Source organism: Homo sapiens, chromosome 1 (genome assembly GCF_000001405.40).
Source record: "Homo sapiens chromosome 1, GRCh38.p14 Primary Assembly".
Classification (NCBI taxonomy): domain Eukaryota; kingdom Metazoa; phylum Chordata; class Mammalia; order Primates; family Hominidae; genus Homo; species Homo sapiens.
The window spans coordinates 116440428-116461026 of record NC_000001.11 but is presented as its reverse complement, the minus strand read 5'-3'; the positions used below and the strand labels follow the sequence as shown (position 1 = coordinate 116461026).

The window sequence follows — 20599 nt, the reverse complement described above, 5'->3', positions numbered from 1 at the left end:
AGCAATCTGGCAGGTGTGATGACAGAGGCAGGGAGCCGCTGCCATCACTGACACCCAGTTATTTCACTGCAGAGATGATTCCAGATTGGCCCCTGATCTTAAAGCCTCTGGGTCTGAAGGTCCAGGACTCTGCTCTGTGCAGAGGTCAGGAAGCCCATCTCTCCAGGCTTGGCTTCTGCAGCGGCCAGTGCTCTCCCTCTACCTTGTAGGGTGGGGACCTAGCATTCAACATCTCAGTGCACAGGTGTCTTCTCAAAAAGACCTGGAGGGCAGGCTCTTTCTGCCTCTTCTGGGAGGAGCATAAGGGGGAGTTGCACTGTAGGAGTGGAGATGCTGTCCTTCACTGCTAGAGAATAAAGCAAGGAGTTTTGTGGGTTGAGCTAAGATCATTTAAGAAGCCCCAAAGGCTAGAATTTGGGGATTTTCCAAGTCAAAGGAGCCAGATGATAAAGGATCCTGGGCACAGAAGCAAGAATCTGAGAACCGGGAGAGAAAAGCAAACACCAAGTGGATTGACAGTCAAAAGAGGGTTTGCTTTTCTAGACTGGGATGGCTCCTGGGTGGGGCAGCTGAGCTCTCCATGAAGAGCTTAAGGACACAGAAAGCCAGCAATCAATCTCCTGAGATCAACACATCAGCTCCCATGCTTCACTCTTCTATCCACATGGCCAAGTCATTGAAAGGAAATGATGTATCTGAGCTTTAGATCTCAACTGTAGCTACTAGAACCCTCAAGACAGGTCTGGATCCCCTAAAGTCACAATAGTGCCTGAAGGAATGAGGATTTTTTTTTCACTGACTTCTCCAGGCTACTTCAAATGTGGTCATACCTTAGAGTTAACCCTACTTCCCTCGAGTTTCTCCTTACTGTTAGGCCCTGTCCCGAGGCCCTCATCTGTCCTGGTTTCCTTCACTTTTGTCTTATGATCTCTTTGTAGACTCACCCTCTTTTTTGATAAATCACGCACTTATTTTAAACTCATTGTTGCATTAATCCTTAAAGCAAGTGTACATTTTAAATGACTGTTGGCATAAACCTTTTTTAAAAAATTTATTTTTTTTAATTTTATTTTTTGTGGCAGGGTGTGGTGGCTCATGCCTGTAATCCTACCACTTTGGGAGGCCAAGGAGGGTGGATCACTTGAGGTCAGGAGTTCAAAACCAGCCAGGCCAATATGGTGAAACCCCATCTCCAGTAAAAAATTCAAAAATTAGCCAGGCATGGTGGTGTATGCCAGTAGTCCCAGCTACTCAGGAGCCTAAGGCAGGAGAATCGCTTGAACTCAGGAGGCAGAGGTTGCAGTGAGCCGAGATCACACCACTGCACTGCAACCTGGGTGACAGAGCCAAACTCCATCTCCAGAAAAAAAAAATTATTTTTTAATGGTATAAATATACATAACATAAAATTTACCACTTTAACAATTTTAAGTGGCATCAAGTACATTGATATTGTTGTGCAACCATCACCATCATCTATTTCCATAACTTTTTCATCTTCCCAATCCAAAACTCCATACCTGTTAAAAAAAACTCCCCATTTTCTCCTCTCCCAGCCCCAACAACCACCATTCTACTTCTATCTCTTTGAATTTTACTACTCTAGGTACTTCATGTAAGTAGAATCATATAGTTTTTATCTTTTTGTGTCTGGCTTATTTCACTCCAGTTTCATCTATGTTGTAACATGTATCAGAATTTCCTTCCTTTTTAAGGCTGAATAATATGCCATTGTATGCATAGACCATATTTTGTTTATCCATTCCTCTGTTGATGGACACAGGTTGCTGTCATCTTTTGGCTATTGTGAATAATGCTGCTATGAATGTGGGTGTACAGATGAGGAGTGGGAGATTTAAAAGCACCCTCTTCTTCCTAGGCTGTAGCCACAGTCACATTTGGTAGAGGCTGTATCATTGTTAGGCCATGTTCAGATGCAGGGATGGTTTCTTTAAATCCTTTCCTGTCCAGGACAAGCTGAAGTCCTCCCTAATTATTTCTCCTTAAGCTTCAAGCAAAGCAACCCAAGCAACGCTGCAATGAATCTGGAGTCAGGACTAGGAGCAGCCAGAGACGAGGGCCCCTTGGCTTTTCTTTCGAGCCGCAGACAGATTGCAAATGCTCGAGTGCAGGGAGAGAGGGCTGGCTGCTAAGTTAAGAAGGGCAGAGAAGAACAAAGCCCCTGACGGCCTGGAACAATTACAAAGAAATGAGTGTGTGGGGTATGGGGAGGGGGGAGGGATAGCATTAGGAGATATACCTAATGTAAATGACGAGTTAATGGGTGCAGCACACCAACATGGCACATGTACACATAGGTAACAAACCTGCACTTTGTGCACACGTACCCTAGAACTTAAAGTAAAAGAAAAAAAAAAGAAAAAAGAAATGAGTGTGATCCTAATCATTTAAAAACAATAATATTGACCTGGAAATAATAGAATCAGTGACAAAATGTGGACATAAAATTTGTCCTCCAAGTTTTCCAAGTGGAGAGGCAAATTTGAAATGTACTTGCTCTCAGTTTCTGATGGGTCTATTTCACATGCCTCTGTGCTGGAGTGGGAATGTGTTGCTCCCAGCTGTACTGTGTGGTGTAAAAGCTTTAAAAAGAGCCTTATGTTGCTGCACACTCTGGAAGGACTGAGGTACCTGCTGGGGATGCCCAGCGTTGCCTGCACTGCCTCATGGTACAGTCTCTTTGGTCATGGAATGGTTCTTTATTCTCTCAGGAGCATTTGGGGTGACCTCTGAGGGCTGTCCTGTTGTCAAGCTATTCCTGAGAAGGGATGAGGTTTCCTTCCTAACAGAGGGTTGGGATTCCACTGGCCCTGCCCCAGCTGCACCCTGAATGCCGTCAGCTCAAGTACACCAGCGCGCTGACGGAGCTGGCAGGTGACGTGCAGCTGTGAAGCATTTGTTGTAGGAAGAGAGTCACAGATGGCAACATGGCCCGTCCTGCTGCATTGTTCTCTTTACACCATTTTCACAAGGGAGGGGTGGGCTGGGGAGGGGGTCATATTTATAGTTTGTGCTATAAATAAGCTAAGTCCTGGGAAGCTGCTGTCCAACTTACTGACCTTATAGTTTTGAGTGTGAACACACACTGAGAGGGTGGACAGGATCTCTCCCTGAAGAGCTGAGGCCCTTTTCTTCTGGCCCTGGGGTCTGGAGGCCCCAGTGGGCATGAGGCACATCGAGCACAGCTACCTGCAATTCCAGTACTCCTCTGTTCCATCTGATCTTTCAGATTATTATTAAGCTGATAATAATTATCTTTCAGATCATTATTGATGTTACATTGTTACTAATCATCTCCCAACTCAGAGATAGATCCTCAAAGCCTGTTGACTCCAGGCAGCCTTGGATGGCAGTAGTTTAGCAATGCCCCTGTAATCTAGGTGTCTCCACCTCAGGGCCCTTCCCAACCCGCCACTGTGTGATTCTGTGATTCTCCCTCTTCTCAGAGTGTTCCCTAGATACTGGCCACTCTGGAGGTGGTTGTGGGCCACACTTTATGGGCAGTGCATGAAGCAGCAGCAGGTGGCGGGAGAGGCTGGTATTAAGAGAGGCCTCAGCTACAACCCCCATGGAAAGGAATTTGGCAATATCTAACAGAATTACGTATGTATTGACCCTTTGGCAATCCCACAGCTAGTAATCCATCCAAAAGATTTGATGGCACAAATATTAAGAAGATGACACTCCAAGTCATTCACTGGATTATTGTTTAGCAGTAAAAGATTAGAAAGTAATGAAATGTTCATCAACAGGGAAATAGTTGAATAAACAATGGTATATCCACATAATGGAATATTATGCAGCTATAAAAAGAAATGAGGAATAATTATATATACTGCTATAAGCTATCTAGAGGCTATATTAACTCAAGTTGGAAAACAAGTATAGTATTTTATTTTTATTTAAGAAAAGGGGGATATAAATACATATAGTTGCTTGTTTTTGATGAAAGCATAAATAATAAAATTTAAGGATTACTGATGAGGGAGGAAGTGCACAGGGTAGAGGCGAACTGACTGTGAAAGTGATAGTCTAAACTTCAGGGCCCCTTACTCATATAGATCTTTTTCAAGGCCCTAAGAAAAGCCCCTAGTAAATTTTGTGTAATTTTTCTTAGAGGCATCGCAATTTAGATAAGATTTCTTCTTTAGACACCTTCAATTGTGCCTCACTTGCAGGAGGTGCCCCCCAAAAATCTGTTGAATGAATGCCTGAAATCAAATATGTTCATGATAGATCAGCCCCACCACATTTTCACTTTTTGATCCTACTCCTTTTTTTATTTTTTAAAATAATTTTTAAAAAATAGAGTCAGGGTCTTACTCACTATGTTGCCCAGGCTGATCTTGAACTGCTGTGTTCAAGGGATCCTCCAGCCTCAGCTTCCCAAAGTGTTGGGATTACAGATGTGAGCCACCCCGCCTGGCCTGATCCTAGTTCTCATGGAGAGAACAGGAATTAGAACCTCTTCCTCTTCCACACACCCTTACCCAGCTTTCAAATATTTGGACACAGAATGTTCTGTTCTCTAACAGTATCAACAATAATTCTTCCTGATATATCAATGTGGGCTCCTTTTAATGCTGATATTTTCCTCTGAACAGGCTTCAGTTTGTTGTTTTTTGGTTTATTTTTAAAGAGACAAGATCTTGCTCTGTTGCCCAGGCTGGTGTGCAGTGGCACGATCACCGCTCACTGCAACCTCAACCTCCTGGGCTCAAGTGATCCTCCCACCTCAGCCTCTCAAGTAGCTGGGACTAAAGGCACATACCACCATGCCTGGTTAATTAAAAAAATTTTTTTTTGTAGAGGTGGAATCTCACTATATTGCCCAGGCTATTCTCGAACGCCTAGGCTCAAGCAATCCTCCCAGCTTGGCCTCCCAAAGTGCTGGGATTACAGGCATGAGCCACTGTACCCAGCCCAAGCCCACTTTTTAAGAACTGGTAAGGAAGACACAAACTAAAATAGGACCATTGCTTCAGAATTGTCCTTAGCATACAAATACATAAGGATGTTATCTGAGAAGACTAACATCTTCATTTATCATCATCAAGGTTCATTTCAACATATGCATTGTCTCTTATTCATTCATTTATTCATCTATTCGTTAATTCAACATTGAGGTTCTACCTCTTACCTACTGAGCAGTAGGCCAGCTCTAGGGCATACAAAGTTGAATAAAGTCCATCCCCGTCTAACTTAGTTTAGACTTCAGAAAAATGTTAAAAATTGGACTAGCTGAGTGAAAAAAAAATACTTTGAGATATTGGCACTGGTGCTTTTTGCTGTGTGATCTTGGGTGTAGTATTTAACCTCTCTGAGCTTTAGGTTCCTCCTGACACAACTCCCCAAAGAGCTGCTGTAAGGACTGAAGATAGAACACTTGTAAAGCTATTCCAATGTCCGGAGTCTAGTGGGAGCTCAGCTAGTTAATATTATTTCCCCTCTGGAAACTCCCAGTTGGGCTCAGGGAAGCTTGGGTTAATTTTGGTGGGAATGGTTAGGGGCTTGAAAAGGTTGGCGCCCATGGGAGGCAGTGTGGGGTGGAGGGATCTCAGGCAGCCAGGTCCCCATGTGGGTTTCGGACCCACGCCAGCATGCCAGCACACCAGCACGGAGGTGGAGAGGGAGGGTGTATCTGTATGCTGAGGGTGGGCGGGAGGGAAGGAGGCCTTCTCAAGACCAGGCCTTGTCCTGTGGGTAGTAAACAAGGATTGTTTGTTTTGATGAAAATAACTAGCTCCTGGAGCTCTGAGTGCTGTTCTGTACGTGTTCCCATCACTTCAGGAACTTACTGTGTCTCTGTTTGATTGAGCCTGGGCATGAGATAAAACACGAGGTCATCTGCAATGGCACTGGTGCTGTGGCTGTATCAGCATGGCTCTGATGTCCCTTCGGGGCAGGCAACAGTTCAGGGAGGACTTACAAGCAAGCTCTGGTAAGTGGTAAGTGGGGCTGCACCCAGGAAGGCACCTCTGCATGCATTCCTGCAGAATGGATAAGGAGGGCTAAAGCATCCTTCTCATTCAGCACAGGGAGGAAGGAATCAGGTGCCCACTTGTGACTCTGCTTTTGAGCTGGCCCAGGTGGACTGCTCTGAGGAGGGAAGGGGGCAGGAACAGGAAGGGACAGTGAGACAACCTGCTCCGTCCCACTCAGGATACAGGCCTGTCCAGCCCCAGGTTCCACTGGAGGAGTCTCTCAGGGAAAGTTTCTGTCTCAACCTCCTTCTGCCTCTCCACCCTCCCCTCACCCAGGCTGCTGCATGTCATCCCCCTACCCACTGCCTTGAATCTTGGCTTGAGCCTCGTGTCCTTCCCTGTCTACACCTGGTGCTTTGGTCCAGGCCTTCTAGTTTCAGTTCTGACTGTATTAACATCTCACCCCTCTGGAACTGCGGGAGTTTCCACCCCAAGACCAGGCCTACGTGTCCTCATGTCCAGCTTGGGCCTCAGAGATACATGGCGGGGGCCTGTTCTCTTGCCCTGTCTGGGCAGGGAGACTGGACATCAACATGTGGCTTCTGTTTTTTCTGCCTGACCTCCCTTCCCTTCTGCACCCCTTCCAAAGTCCTTTCCTTCCCTCCTTCCCTTTCTTCTTCTTCCCCTTCCTTCCGCTTCTTCTTTTCTCCCTCTCTCACCCTCCATATCTCCTACACTGTTTGACCACACTGAGGCTTTAGCCCTAGCAAGCAGCCAAGCAGAGTGAGCTCAGAGGCCTTGACTGAGACAGGGCTCCTTCTGGGAGTGGTGGGTGGTTGCCCCTGGGCAGCCTGGGCTGAGAGGTCAGCAGGATAAGGCCTCACCATAGAGCCATGTGGAATCTCAGGAATCTGCTGCGGAGTGAGTCTGTCCTGAGGGAAGAGAGCCTGCTCTGGCCTGAAAGCACTGCGTGGGGCTCCTCAGTCTGCACTGCTGTGGTGCACCCCACTCCTAGGTGGGAGGAAACTGTTCAGCCTTCCTTCTCTTCCATTCCGATCTCCCACTACCATCACCACACCAGGGGGAGGGGTCCGAATTCAGCTCATCTCAAAGCAATTTGGAAAGACAGGTGCAGGCTGCCTGTGGTGAGTTTCCAGAAACCAGCTTCCTTCCACTGGCTGTTAGCGTTGGCATCGAGTGGGCTGCATAAGCAACATTTACAGAATTAATGGGCTCTGAGTCTCAAGTGAATACAGCAGAAACAAGAGGGGCCATGCCACTTTACATTATAAGACTCAGAACGTGGAATTTCAATCTCTCTTGATCTGATCTGTTTACTCACTTGTAAAGTAGGGGAAGTTCTAGAGCAGGACAAACAGGTTAAATGAGATGAGGGTTGAATGCTGAGCATAGCTAGCAACTGCTCAATAAATGTGGCTCCTGGAATGACAATTACTATTATTGCCTGCTGCCAGGGTAGCAGCGGGCAATGGCATCAGTGAAGGGCTGGAACCTGTAAGCTTCAAGCTTTGGTTTTTCTCTGTTCTTACTCTGGTAAAAGTCCCAGGAAGAGGGTAAGGAAATGAGAGACTTCAGGACTCTGTTCTTTATGGCCTAGGAAAGTGACACTGGTTCAGAATGGGCCATCTTCTTGCCTCTGTTTTTAAAATCAAAACTAGCCCAGAAGAAGATTTAGCTCTGGGTCCAAATCTGGCCTCTGCCTCTAATTGTGTAACTTTGGGAAAATTACTTACCTCTCTAACTCTTTATTTATCTGTGAAATTCCTATCTCATAGGAATGTTGTGAGGATTACATGAGTTAATACCTATGGAGAAGTTAACACAGGGCTTGTGGGGCACAGAGCATGCACTCAATAAATGGTCATTATAATTATACTTAATTGCCATTTTAGGAACTTGAAGTCTCAAGAGATGACAAATAGTCAATTCTCAAAAAATGAAGAAAAGAAAAACTTGTTTCTTCATGTTTGCTAACCCTATCTATATCTATGGTTTTGGCCAATAAATTCACTGTGTTTAAATCCTCATTGCGCTGATTTCTGTCTTTTGGAAAATGACTTCACAGTGTTTACATCTCTGAACCATCCTGTCAGAGATCTTATTACTCCTATTTTTTTTTTCTTTTAAGATGGAGTCTCGCTCTGTCGCCCAGGCTGGAGTGCAGTGGTGTGATCTCGGCTCACTGAACTTCCCCTCCCCAGTTCAAGCGATTCTCCTGCCTCAGCCTCCCTAGTAGCTGGGATTACAGGCCCCCACCACCATGCCTGGCTAATTTTTAAATATTTTTAGTGGAGATGGGGTTTCACCATGTTGGCCAGGATGGTCTTGAGCTCCTGACCTCAAGGGATCCACCCGCCTCGGCCTCCCAAAGCACTGGGATTACAGGTATAAGCCACCGCGTCCGGCCTACTCCCACTTTGTTTCCAAGGATAGTCAAGTGAAGGAGTGGGAGTGGAGAAGGAACAAATAAATCTGTAACTGCTTGTGATCAATTAGTTGTTAATGTCAATACCACTGCACTGAGAAGGCTGAGGTTCACAAAGGTGAAGTGATTTATCTAAGGTTTTATGTCTGGTTTGTAGAGAGCCAGGACCCAAATCCAGACCTTCCCCTACAGACCCTGACCCTTCCTCTGCCTTGTGCCGATGCCTTGAGGGGACCCTTCCCAAGGTCCCCTGGGCCACACCCTGCTCCCCTGACCCACAGGGCTGCTGAGGTCACCTCTTTCAAAGGGTCTGCTTTGGTTCCACTTTGCCATTAGAATAAAGCTTTGCAAATCTCAAAACTGCAAGTCCCAGACATGATTATGAAACATCACAGAGTGCCCCTGGGATTTTATTGTATTAAGTCAACAGGCTGCTTCTATTTGTACAACAGAGAAACTGTCAACTGCTGGGCACTTCTATGTCTCTTGACAAAATTCCCGATGCTGCTATGTGTTTCACTCCTTCCCCTTTTTGCTGTCTTGTACTTCTCTCTATTCAATTTCCTATGCAGAGCAAAAGAAGCCCCCAGATTGATAAGATCCTCATTTAATAGAAGGTAGAAAATATTAGTCACAACAGGGCTCAGAACTGAACCAATTTTTCTGCAACCTGAGCCTCCTGCCTAAGATCCCTTGGGGGTTATTAGCTTAGCCTGTAAGATGCAGGTTTTGCAAAGTGATGTGGCATGTTGATGATGCTGGAAGATCAATGCTTGGCCTGCATTCAATAGAGAGAGGAAGAGCTCAGAATGCTGCAAGGAATCAGGCCAGCTCTGCTAAGGTCAGAGCCCATCACAGGGCCTCAGGTGGGGGTCTGTGGTGGGCAGAGGTGGTGCAGAAGTGGAGTGGGCCAAGATGAGGCTGCTTTGCAGAGCATGTCTGGGAGCCAGTATTTCACCAGTAGCCAAGCGCTCACCAGCTCCATCAGCCTTCATTTACCAGCATCTTATTGAGTGTTTTCTCTATGCCGGGAAACTGCTCCTCCCGCTGAGCTTTCACAGCAATTCACTTGCAGCTCATCTGGAGTATGTATTTTGTTCTTCCTAATATTATTGTCAGCTTTTTTATACTCTTCCATTAGATTTTGAGTTTCTTTAGATCAGGGACTGTCTCTTAATCATCTCTGGCCTTTGAGCCTTGCAGAAGTAAGTGCCCAGTATGCATTTGTTGAATAACTACATTTATGAATCAATGAATCAGTCAACTGCTCAATAAACATTTATGAACTATATGCTCTAGTAGGGTCTTGGCAGGATGACTGCTTTTCTGAGACAGAAGCTCCATAATGGAGGCCTTCTTATAAAGAAACTCTCCTTCTTTGTTACTTGACTGTCCCCTAAAGTAATTGAAACTTACAGGCCACAAGTATGGAAATGGCTGATGCAAAATGATTATAATTTGGTAGGTGGGATTAGGTGCCTATGCTGTGGTTGAAATATAAGAGTTCAGTTCTCTTTTAGCGAGATGATTTTAGAAGTTTGGGGGGTTACCTATGCATGGGGAGCCCAGTCCCTGAATGACCGGTCATTCTCATTAAGAATCAAGATGATACCAGGTGGCCCCATAAGAGATAGCCAATGTGGCTATTTCTCAGGATTGGCTGCAACTTTAGAATGTCTCTTTACTTGGTGTGGGTGGCTTAGACTGGGACCATCTTTGGAAGTTCTGTTCTTCCCCCACTTGGGAGGATCTGATTTGCTTAGGTGAGAATGACAGGCTATCAGAATGCACCCCTATAGATACTTTTTACCTTCAGCTTGTACCATGACCTAAATGAAGTGATAAGAAACGACATTCTTTAATCCACGTTTTGCCTAGATGTCCCCGCTTCCTTTGCTAACAGATATTTGGAGGATGAAAATGGAATTTAACTTATGCTTATGTTCATTTGGGTCCTTATGTAAAGGGCCACTTACTAGAAAGTTAGTTCTGAAGCACAATATTAAAACAGCTACCATTTAGTGAGTTTTTACCTGCCAGTCACTGGTAAGCACTCTGCATGCATCATCTTTCTTTCATTCACGAAGTACCACTATGAGGTGGGCATTTTAATTACTATTGTATAATTGAGGAAACTGAGTTGGTGGCACCTGACTCTAACTTTTCCAAGGGTCACCAGGTCCCATGCTGAGTAAATGACAGAGCCAGGATTCCATCCCAAGCCCATCAAACAGCAATGCCATTCTCATTGCCACCATGTTGCTGGGTGCTTTGTCAGTGGCTGTGAGCATCTGAGGATGAATATCTTCTGCTTCCCCTTTAGACGCTCTGGGAACAAACTTGCTAACATCACAGGAATGTGTTTCAGCCCTCTCTCCGTCAGATATTCCTATGCAATTGCACTACAGTTTCACCTAGGATTCCTTGGGCATATACACCCTTAAAGGTTAACTCAAAGGGAAGCTCAAAATAGCCTGTGTTAAGACTTAGATTAGATACTAGGAATTTTTGTTTTTTCCCTTTGATGAGCTGAAGGCCCTTAGCTGTCAATGGCCTCCCCAAACTCACTTTTACCATTTGAATCCAATGACATGGCATGTTGACAGATGAAGGTGTGTTTTACTACCCATCTGATTTGGCTTCTGCACCTGTGTGTGTGAAGGTGTGTGCAGGGAATTTTAGCAGTTCTTTAGAGGAGCAGCAGGCATGGGTGGGCCATCAGTGTTGGCCACTGAGGCTGGAGCTTCAACTATGTCTTGGAGAATAGCCACTACATAGTGAAGGGCTCCTCTGACCTTAGGGACAGGCTTGTTGAAAACCAGTGAGACAGGATGCTCAGGATGTGGAAATACAGCTCCCTAAAGGAGGTGAATGACCTTCCACATACTTCTATTTCCTTTTGTCTTGGAGTGCTCTTATCAGAAAGTCATCTGACCCACAATTTCTCCCCACCTCAGTCAATGATGTTGGAAATTCCTTCAGGATGTGAGATTTAAAGTGCAACTACCCCTTGAAAAGGTGCCCTTCCATCCATGTGACCTGTAATACTATTCATATTTGCATGGAAGTTTACAGCAGTATGGAAGTATTTGCGCTTCCCCATCTCACTGTGAATGCTCCTAGCAATCCATAGGCGATATACCCTGTTTATGTCTTGGTTTATATAAAAGGAGAGCAAGGTCAAGAGAGTTGGAGTGACTTGCTCCAAGGCAGTAGGTGACAGTGATAGAACTGAGACCTGGAGTTTATGGTTCCAAGCCCAGAGCTCTTTTCACCACACCAGAGCTACTTCAGACTTAGTTATATTCGTGTACACTGAGTTATAGGTGGCCATTGTCCCAGCAGCTGGTCTTGCTAGTTAGAAAGAGAGGGAAAAAGCCTGGGGTACCTGCAGGAAGTGGGACCTGAGGCGACACAGGGAGGACTGAAGGTAGAGGAGGATGCAGGTAGGGAGTGGCATTCCAGTTGCCAAGTGGTGAGTCTGCTTTTAGCTCTGAAGTGGCCACAGGAACCCCTCCTAGTCCTATAAGCCCTTAAAAAATTTTTTTGTTATTGTTATGATTCGCCTGGAGCAGTGAAATGTTTTCTCCAGCTAAGCAATAATAGAAGACAGTGAGGAGATGCCAACTCGGTGATCCCATGGGAAGCCTTCTGGACTGTGGCGTTTACACAAGAGATGAGATCAGAGGAGCGGCTACCGGCTTGGTGGACTGAGAGCCCAGCTGAGCACCCCAGGAGCTGCAGAGGCCAGATCCCCAGCTGTGGGGGCACAGGCAATCCTTCTCAGGCACAAGAGGGACAGTAAGGGAGACTGTTTACATTTCTTGCCCTGGTTGGTTAAAAACAGCTCAGTAGCACCATATCGTGTATTCTTGATAAGAAGAAAGATAAAAGGAGCAAGTGCCATTGCACCCAAGCTCATGCTTTCTTCCTCTCTTTGCTCCTTCATTCAGTCCTTCTCATCTATTGAGCATGTGGGAGAATGCTGGCAGGTGCTGGGGATTCTCAGATCCTGTACTCAAGTAGCTCCCAGTTTAGATGGAGAGGCAGACATGTCAATAAAGGAATTGTAATTCAGAGTGTTAAATACCCGAAAAGAAGATAGAACTAGGCAGAGCAGCAACAGGAAAGGAGCAGAATTAACTCTAAGGGAGGTATCCACAAAGGCTTCCTGGAGGAAGTGTCATCTGAACTGGTTGTACAAAAACTGCACATGTCATGAGTGCACAGTTGATCAATTTTCAAAAACTGGAGTAAAACTGTGTAACTAGCACCCAGATCAAGAAACATGACTAGCACCTGCCACCCTCATCAAGGGGTAACCATTCTCCTGACTACTAAAGCATAGGTTAGTTTTGCCTGTTTTGAACTTTATATAAGTGGAAAAATTCTGCAAAAACTCTTTGGTGTCTGAGCTGGAGCTGAAAGGACAAATGGGAATTTTTCAGGGGATAAGTTAGAAGAGGCCATTGTGGGAAGAAGGGGAAGTATAGTTACATGTTGCTTAATGATGGGACACATTCTGAGAAATACGTCATTAGGCGATTTTATCATTGTGTGAACATCATAGAATACACTTAGACAAACTTCGACGGTATAGCCTTCTACACACCTAGGCTACCCACAAATACTTAACCACTGTGCTACAATTGCCTACAGTATTTGGTATCATAACACAACAGTATTCTGAAAGGTACAACTTGAGTCTGTGAGCATTGCCATGCTGAATACTGTAGGCAATTGTAATGCAATGGGATTTGTGTAGCTAAACATACCTAAACAAAGAAAATGTACAGTAAGAATATGGTATAAAAGATAAAAAATGGTGCCCTTACATAGAGCACTTACCATGAATGGAGCTTGCAGGACTGGAAGTTGCCGTGGGCAGGTCAGTGAGTGTGTGGTGTGTGAATGTGAAGACCTAGGACATTACAGTACTGTAGACTTTATAAACACTGTACACTTAGGCTCCACTACATTTATTTAAGAAATATTTTTTCTTCAATAATAAATTAACCTTAGCTTACTGTTATGTTTTACTTTATAAACTTTTACATTTTTAAAAAACCTTGACTCTTTTGTAGTAACACTTAGCCTTAAAACACGAATACATTGTACAGCTATATAAAAATATTTTCTTTCTTTATATCCTTATTGCATAAGTTTTTCTATTAATTTTTTTAACTTTTTAAACCCTTTTATCAAAAGTATAGACGCAGCACACATATTAGCCTAGGCCTAGACAGGGTCAGGATCATCAATATCACTCTCTCCCACCTCCACATCTTGTCCCACTGGAAGGTATTCAGGGGCAATAACAGGCCTGGAGCCGTCATCTCCTATAAGGCAATGCCTTCTTCTGCAATCCCTCCTGAAGGACCTGCCTGGGGCTGTTTTACAGTTAACCTTCTTTTTTTTAAATAAATAGAAGGAATACACTCTAACAATAAAACATACAGTATTGTAAATACATAAACTAGTAACATAATCATTTTTATCATTATCAAGTATTATGCACTCTATGTAGTTATATGGACTATTCTTCTATACAACTGGCAATGTGGTATGCTTGTTTATACCCTATAAAGGTTAACTCAAAGGGAAGCTCAAAATATCCTGTGTTAAGACTTAGATACTAGGAATTTTTGTTTTTTCCCTTTGATGAGCTGACGGCCCTTAGCTGTCAATGGCCTCCCCAAACTCACTTTTACCATTTGAACCCAATGACATGGCATGTTGTGTCATGCATCATGCATCACCACAAACATATGAGTAATGCATTGAACTTAGCATGGCTATGTCATCGCTAGGGGATAGGAATTTTTCTATCTATTATAATCTTATGGGACCCCCATCGTATATATGTTCCATCATTGACCCAAACATCATGTGATGCATGACTGTATCTTAAAGCAGAGAGGTGAAATAACATCATGTGTGTGAACACTGTTGGCTTTCAGCACTGTTGGGCCACAAAATTCCATAAACTGTTAGGAAAGAGGCATGAAATGAAATAGGATTGGAAGGCAGGGGGAGCAGGATCACGGAGAGCCTTCTATGCCAGGTAAAGGAGTTGGGCTGTGAGCCTGGAAACCTGTGATTTCCAAACCTGGCCGGCCATTGAAGTCACCTGGGCATCTGTTAAGGCCTACAGGTCCCAGGACCTACTGTCCGCAATTTGAGATTTCCAAAGTTCCTCCAAGTTTATGCCCAAGAACCCAAAAGCAAATGCAACAAAAACAAAAATAAATAGATGGGACCCAATTAAACTAAAAAGCTTCTTCACAGCAAAAGAAATAACCAGCAGAGTAAACAGACAACCCACAGAGTGGGAGAAATTATTTGTAAACTATGCATCCAACAAAGGACTAATATCCAGAATCTATAAGGAACTCAAACAAATCAGCAAGAAAAAAACAGATAATCCCATCAAAAAGTGGGCAAAAGATGTGAATAGACAGTTCTCAAAAGATGTACAAATGGCCAAAAAGCATATAAAAAATGCTCAACATCACTAATTATCAGGGAAATGCAAATTAAAACCACAATGAGAGGGCAATCTTAAGGATAAATAAAAAGTAAAAATCAGGCACACAACTAATTAATAAGATTCAAACTGGATCATGTGTCTCACTGCAAACCAAAATTTAGAGAGATAAGTTTCCTCATCTTCATATGAAGAAACTGAGGCTATGAGTAGTTTGGACCCAAGATTGAATAGCAATCAAATGTCAAAATTCAGATGGATAGAAATTGGCCTTTTTCTGCAGCTCTGTTCTGTGACTATGCACAGCCAGCCACTGAAGGAAGCCCAGCATGTTTTGACTATGACCTGTGGCTCCATATGTACTTGTTGGGATTGGGCTGGAGGTCACGCCCAGGGTCAGGTGCAGCTAGGGGTATTGCTTTGATGAAGAGTCTTCTACAGGTCACAACAGGGCAGGGGAGGACTGGCTATTCTTTCTAGAACTTTTGCCCACATACACATCAGGCTGTTAGGGGTGCAGCCTTGAGCTTGGATACTGGCTTAATCTTCTCATGTGTTGAGTTGGTCTGGGGAAAAAAAATCTAGAAATGGAGTAAGAAAAAGCTAGCACAGATTCCTTTAGCAATGTGTGGCCAGCAAGTTAAGCAGATGTGCTTTGAGACAGAAGAGATGTCAAAGAAGAAACTAGATCCGCCTGACACTCAGAGGAATCTTTAGCCTGCCCCTCTCTCAGTTTGCTCGTTTTATGGCCCTCAGAACACTGAAAGAATTACTTGGGCATCTGGAACACAAGGTTTCCCAAAGGAACTTATTACAGGGTTTTTGGAGCATGTATTAAAGATGAGACAAGTGACTGGATTAACCAAAGCAAAGGGATTGAGGTCAGGTAGGATGGCAGGCACACAGGGCAACTTTTAATAACCATAGTGCCAACCTCCCGCTTCCAAAAGGGCCAGGTCTCCTAGTCCAAACTCAAAGGCTGGGGCCACCTTGTAGAGGAACAGGAGGGCATGATGGCCCCACATGCCCCGTCCCAGGGTGCCCTTTCTTGCCTCTGCCTGCTTCTGGGTAAGGCCTTCTCTTGGTCACATTACAGCAGGTCACGGAGGACACACTGAACCCTCTTGCTCTCCAACCCTCATCTCAACTGACTCCTGAAAAAATGATTTCTCTCAGCACACTCTGAGCAGTTAGGATGTGTAAAGGGAGTGTAAGTCCTGAAGAAAAGCCCAATCGAATGACTTGAAGCCAAAAGGATGGCAGTCCAAATGTCTACATCATCTGAACTGGACAAGTCTGACATCAAGCCCAGAGTTGGGACCGCTGTAGCTTCCGCTTTGAAGTGGTTATTGCTGAGCAGTGACTCAGGGAGGCAACGGAGAGTGGAGGGAGAAAGAGGCAAGGCAGCCAGGATCTGGTCTCCCTTGTCCTCACAAATCCAGCACCAAAGTGACATCAGTGGGGCTGGGGCTGGGCTGGGCCTGGGTTGGGCCTAAGACTGTGGCTGACTGCACACCCCTACGCACTAGGGATGAGCTTCCACTCACATTCTCCGGCTGTGCATTGGCCAAATGGGTCTCATCCACATGAGTTGCATCCTCTGGCTCCATCACTTCCCTCCTAGTACTTTCTGGTAGAAGCCCCAGGTTCTTCTGAGCAAGGCTGCCCTTGTTCTATCTGGACTGAGGTGTGAGGAGGCGGTAGGGGAACCCAGTTTGAGTCTCATCTTGGACTTCCACATCCCCTGGTCCTTCCGGGGGACCCACGTCAAACTATGTCCCCAACTTCATCACATGGAGGTGAGTGGCAGGGGAAGGTCTTCATGTGTTTCCTAGTTCATCAACATCATTTTTACTATAAGCACAAGGCATCTTTTTATACTCTCCATCCATCTTGTTATTGGACAAATAGGACCAGTGGATGAAGCTCTTGTGGGAGCTTTCACTCTGAGATGCACAAAGCTGATGTGCATCTCAAGAAAGAAATGACAAAATAAACATTGAATTCTACATGTATCTCATAAAGAATAAAAATAATTCACCGACATTCTGCACATTTTTCAAAGCAAAGGGCTACCCTGAGGACACACATGACCTGCACTGTCGGGTTGCTCCTGTGTGCACTGAGTGGCTTTCCGCAGAGAAAAGCAGAGGGCCCTTGTGTGTGGGCTTCTAGTGGCATGTGAGAAACTGTCCAGAATTCACAGAGAAGAAAGAGAATGGGCAGCGGGATACATCAATAATATAATAGCTGAGAATTGTTCAGTACTGAACAAAAATAAGTAAAGTGATTGAGAAAAAGAATAGTTGTTTTTGTCTATTTCTCGTTGCAATTAAATAGAGAAAATAATAATAATAATAATAAAAGGATGGGTAGACTGAGGTATAAAGGACAATTATGAGTGCTAAATGGCTGAGGGCTTCCTTGCTTGGAAGAAAATGGGCAGAGAATGGTGCGCCTGCTGTAGTAAGTAACCTCCGAGATGTGGCTGGCAACAGGACATCCACTTCCAGGAGTCTCATAAGCAGAGCTCCAGCTGGAACACAAGTACAACAGAAGGTACCTTTGGAGACAGGGAAATATGAATGCCATTGAAACACAATCAAGCCCATGAGCATGGGTGACATTCCTGTGTCCCTGGGAGTCCAGTGGCACTGGGTTTGCCTCAGAACTAGCAGGAGACATTTTTCTCCCCAGGAGCCAGGAGCAGAAAAAGCTGGTGCTAAAAGGAATACTACCAAGCATGTGAATTTTCTTGGGGAGCTTTTTTATTCATCAGTTGTTCCCTCTCTAGACCCTCATCCCCTGGCTCTTCTACACATCTGATGGGGGCCAAATTCATGCTGGACTTCATTCCTCCTGGTTACCTGTCAGAGTTGTACATCAATCTGATAAATGAAAACCTCCAGGAGTCAGCTGATCATGGTCCTTGAGCATACTGCAGTAGAGGGAGAGAGACAGAACTGGTTCTAAGTGCAGAGAAGTGGAAGAAATGGATACAATACAGCAAACAGGGCCAGGTGTGGTGGCTCATGACTATAATCCCCGGACTTTGGGAGACTGAAGAGGGCAGATCCCTTGAGGATCAAGAATCAGAAAGTTGGCTGGGCGTGGTAGCTCACGCCTGTAATCCCAGCACTTTGAGAGGCCAAGGTGGGCAGATCACTTGAGGTCAGGAGTTTGAGAAAAGCCTGGTCGACATGGTGAAACCCTGTCTGTACTAAAAATACAAAAATTAACCGGGTGTGGTAATGCGCCCCTGTAATCCCAGCTACTGGGGAGGCTGAGGCAGGAGAATCCCTTGAACCTAGGAGGCAGAGGTTACTGTGAGATCCCTCCACTGCACTCCAGCCTGGGCAACAGAGTGAGAACTCTGTCTCAAAAAAAAAAAAAAAAAAAAAGAAAAAGAAAAGAAAAAAGAAAGAAAAGAAAAAAAAGGGCAAAAGACTCAAATGGACACTTCCCCAAAGAGGACATATAGATGGCAATTAAGCACATGAAAAGCTGTTAAACGGAATTAGCTATTAGGGAAATGCAAATTAAACCACAATGAAATACTATTACACATTTGTTAATACGGATAAAATAAAAATAAAATGAAAATACGAAATATAAGCAAGGATGTGGAGTAACAGAAAATGTCATATGCTGCTAGTGGGAATGAAAAATGATGTAGCCATTCTGGAAAACAGTTTAGCAGTTTCTTATAAAGTTTAAGCATAAATTTATTGTACAAGTCAGTAATTCTGCTGCTGGGTATTTACTTTAGAGAAATGAAAATTTGTGTTCCTACAAAAACCTGTACAAAAATATTTATAGCAGTTCTATTCATAGTCTCCCAAACTGGAAACAACCAAAATTTCCTTCAACAGATGCACATATAAACAAACTGGAATATACAGTGGACTACTCAGCAGTAAAAAGGAATAAACTATTAATACATGCAACAACATAGATGAATCTCAAATGCATTATGCTGAGTGCAAGAAACCAGTCTCAAAGGCTGCATAGTGACTCTGTTTCCAGGAAGAAAAAGATATGCTTTTCTCCACTCCTCAAGATAAGTAGCCTAGAAATCATATATAAAACAAGCATAAGAAAACTGAGGGGTTCAAAGAGCTAAAAGCAGAACTACCATTCAACCCAGCAATCCCATTACTGGGTATATACCCAGAGAAATATAAAGCATTCTACCATAAAAACTCATGCTCGCAAATGTTCATTGCAGTAATATTCATAATAGCAGAGACATGGAATCAACCTAAATGCCCGTCAATGACAGATTGGATAAAGCAAATGTGATACATATCCACCATGGAATACTGTGCAGCCATAAAAAAGAACAAGATGATGTCTTTTGTGGGAACATGGACGGAGTTGGAGGCCATTATCCTTAGCAAACTAATGCAGGAACAGAAAAACAGAAAACCAAATGCCACATGTTCTCATTTATAAGTGAAAGCTAAATGATTAGAACTCATGAACGCAAACAAGGGAACAGCAAACACTGGGGTCTATTTGAGGGTAGAAGGTGGGAGGAGCAGAAATGATAACTATTGGGTATTGGGCTTAATACCTCAATGATAAAGTAATCTGTACAACAAACCCCTGTGACACTAGTTCACCTATGTAACAAACCTTCGCATGTAACCCCAAACCTAAAACAAAAGTTAAGAAAAAAGAAAGAAAAGAAAATCGAGGGTTGAGAGAAGAAGGCAGACCAGCTAGCGACCTTAGGATTTGAGGAACAACAAGGGGTTGAACTTCCTGTGGTATTTTTTTGTTTTATGTTGTTGTTGTTGTTTGCCTTATATACCCAAAAATGGGTGCTCAAGAAACTGGCAATCTGGAAATGCTGATGAATGCAGACAAAAAAAAGCTCCAACAAAAGTCTTTTCTCTCTAGCCAGACAACTAAGGAAAGGGCATCTTGACCAAACAGAAACATTTTAGAAATTAACTGCTTTACTGGTGACAACCATTGTGAAAAAAAAAAACAAAAAAGCAAAAAACTTGTAACCTCCATACCAGCAATGATCAAATGTGGAACCTAAACATTTAACAGGCTGCAAGAAGTTGCCTGTCCTGCTCCCCATTGGGGTAGCGTCAGGACTCACAGAGAGTCAGGGCTTTTCATCATTACACAGAGTAAAGAGCCATTCACCCCCATGGTGCCTGTGGTGGCCATGTGGAGATCAGTAAGAAGCAACCCTACCTCACCGAGCCAGGAGGTTGTCAGTGGAGGCACAGTGGAGACTTAGAACTCCCATCCCGGCCCAGCAGTGATAAGGAGCCCCAATCTCAGGTGTCAGTGGAGGCCAAGTGAAGAGCCTGGTCTTCCATCTCCACCTCGCTGTAATAAAATAGTGTCTCTCTCCCATTTTCCTGCCCCAGCAGTGTCAGAGAAAGTCTGTTAAAATAGAAGACTTAAGTAAGATCCTGAATCTCATAACTTATACCCCAAATGTCCGGGTTTCAATAGAAAATTATTTATCATACCAAGAACCATGAAGATCTCAAACTGAATAAAAAGAAAATGATCATCGGATGCCAACACCAAGATGACAGAAATGTTAGAATTATCTAACCAGGATTTTAAAGGAGCCATCATTAAAAAGCAATTATGAACATTCTTAAAACAAATGAAAACAGAAAGTAGTAAAGAAATAGAAAGTATAAAGAAGAACCAAATGAAAATTTGAGAATGAAAAAATACAATAAT

At 44.0% G+C, this 20599-nt stretch overlaps 1 long non-coding RNA gene across 2 annotated transcripts in view, besides 1 other annotated feature; it reads left to right on the top strand.

Annotated features, from left to right (window-relative positions):
* Positions 1-20599, top strand: part of LINC01762 (long intergenic non-protein coding RNA 1762) — a 55103-nt gene that overhangs the window by 17800 nt on the left and 16704 nt on the right. The window contains exons 3-4 of one of the 2 annotated variants that reach the window (NR_125973.1): positions 5812-5962; positions 7859-7993. The exons of the other annotated variant lie outside the window; for it this stretch is intronic. This is a non-coding gene — a long non-coding RNA (long intergenic non-protein coding RNA 1762). Of the gene's footprint in view, positions 1-5811; positions 5963-7858; positions 7994-20599 lie in introns of those variants that run through there. 2 annotated transcript variants of the gene reach the window in all.
* Positions 17858-18059: a silencer, noted in NCBI's record as "fragment chr1:116985590-116985791 (GRCh37/hg19 assembly coordinates)". NCBI's record gives its function as "represses an EF-1alpha promoter that drives an FKBP-Casp9 reporter gene in an ReSE screen in K562 erythroleukemia cells {active_cell/tissue: K562}" and the evidence as "EXISTENCE:reporter gene assay evidence [ECO:0000049][PMID:32094911]".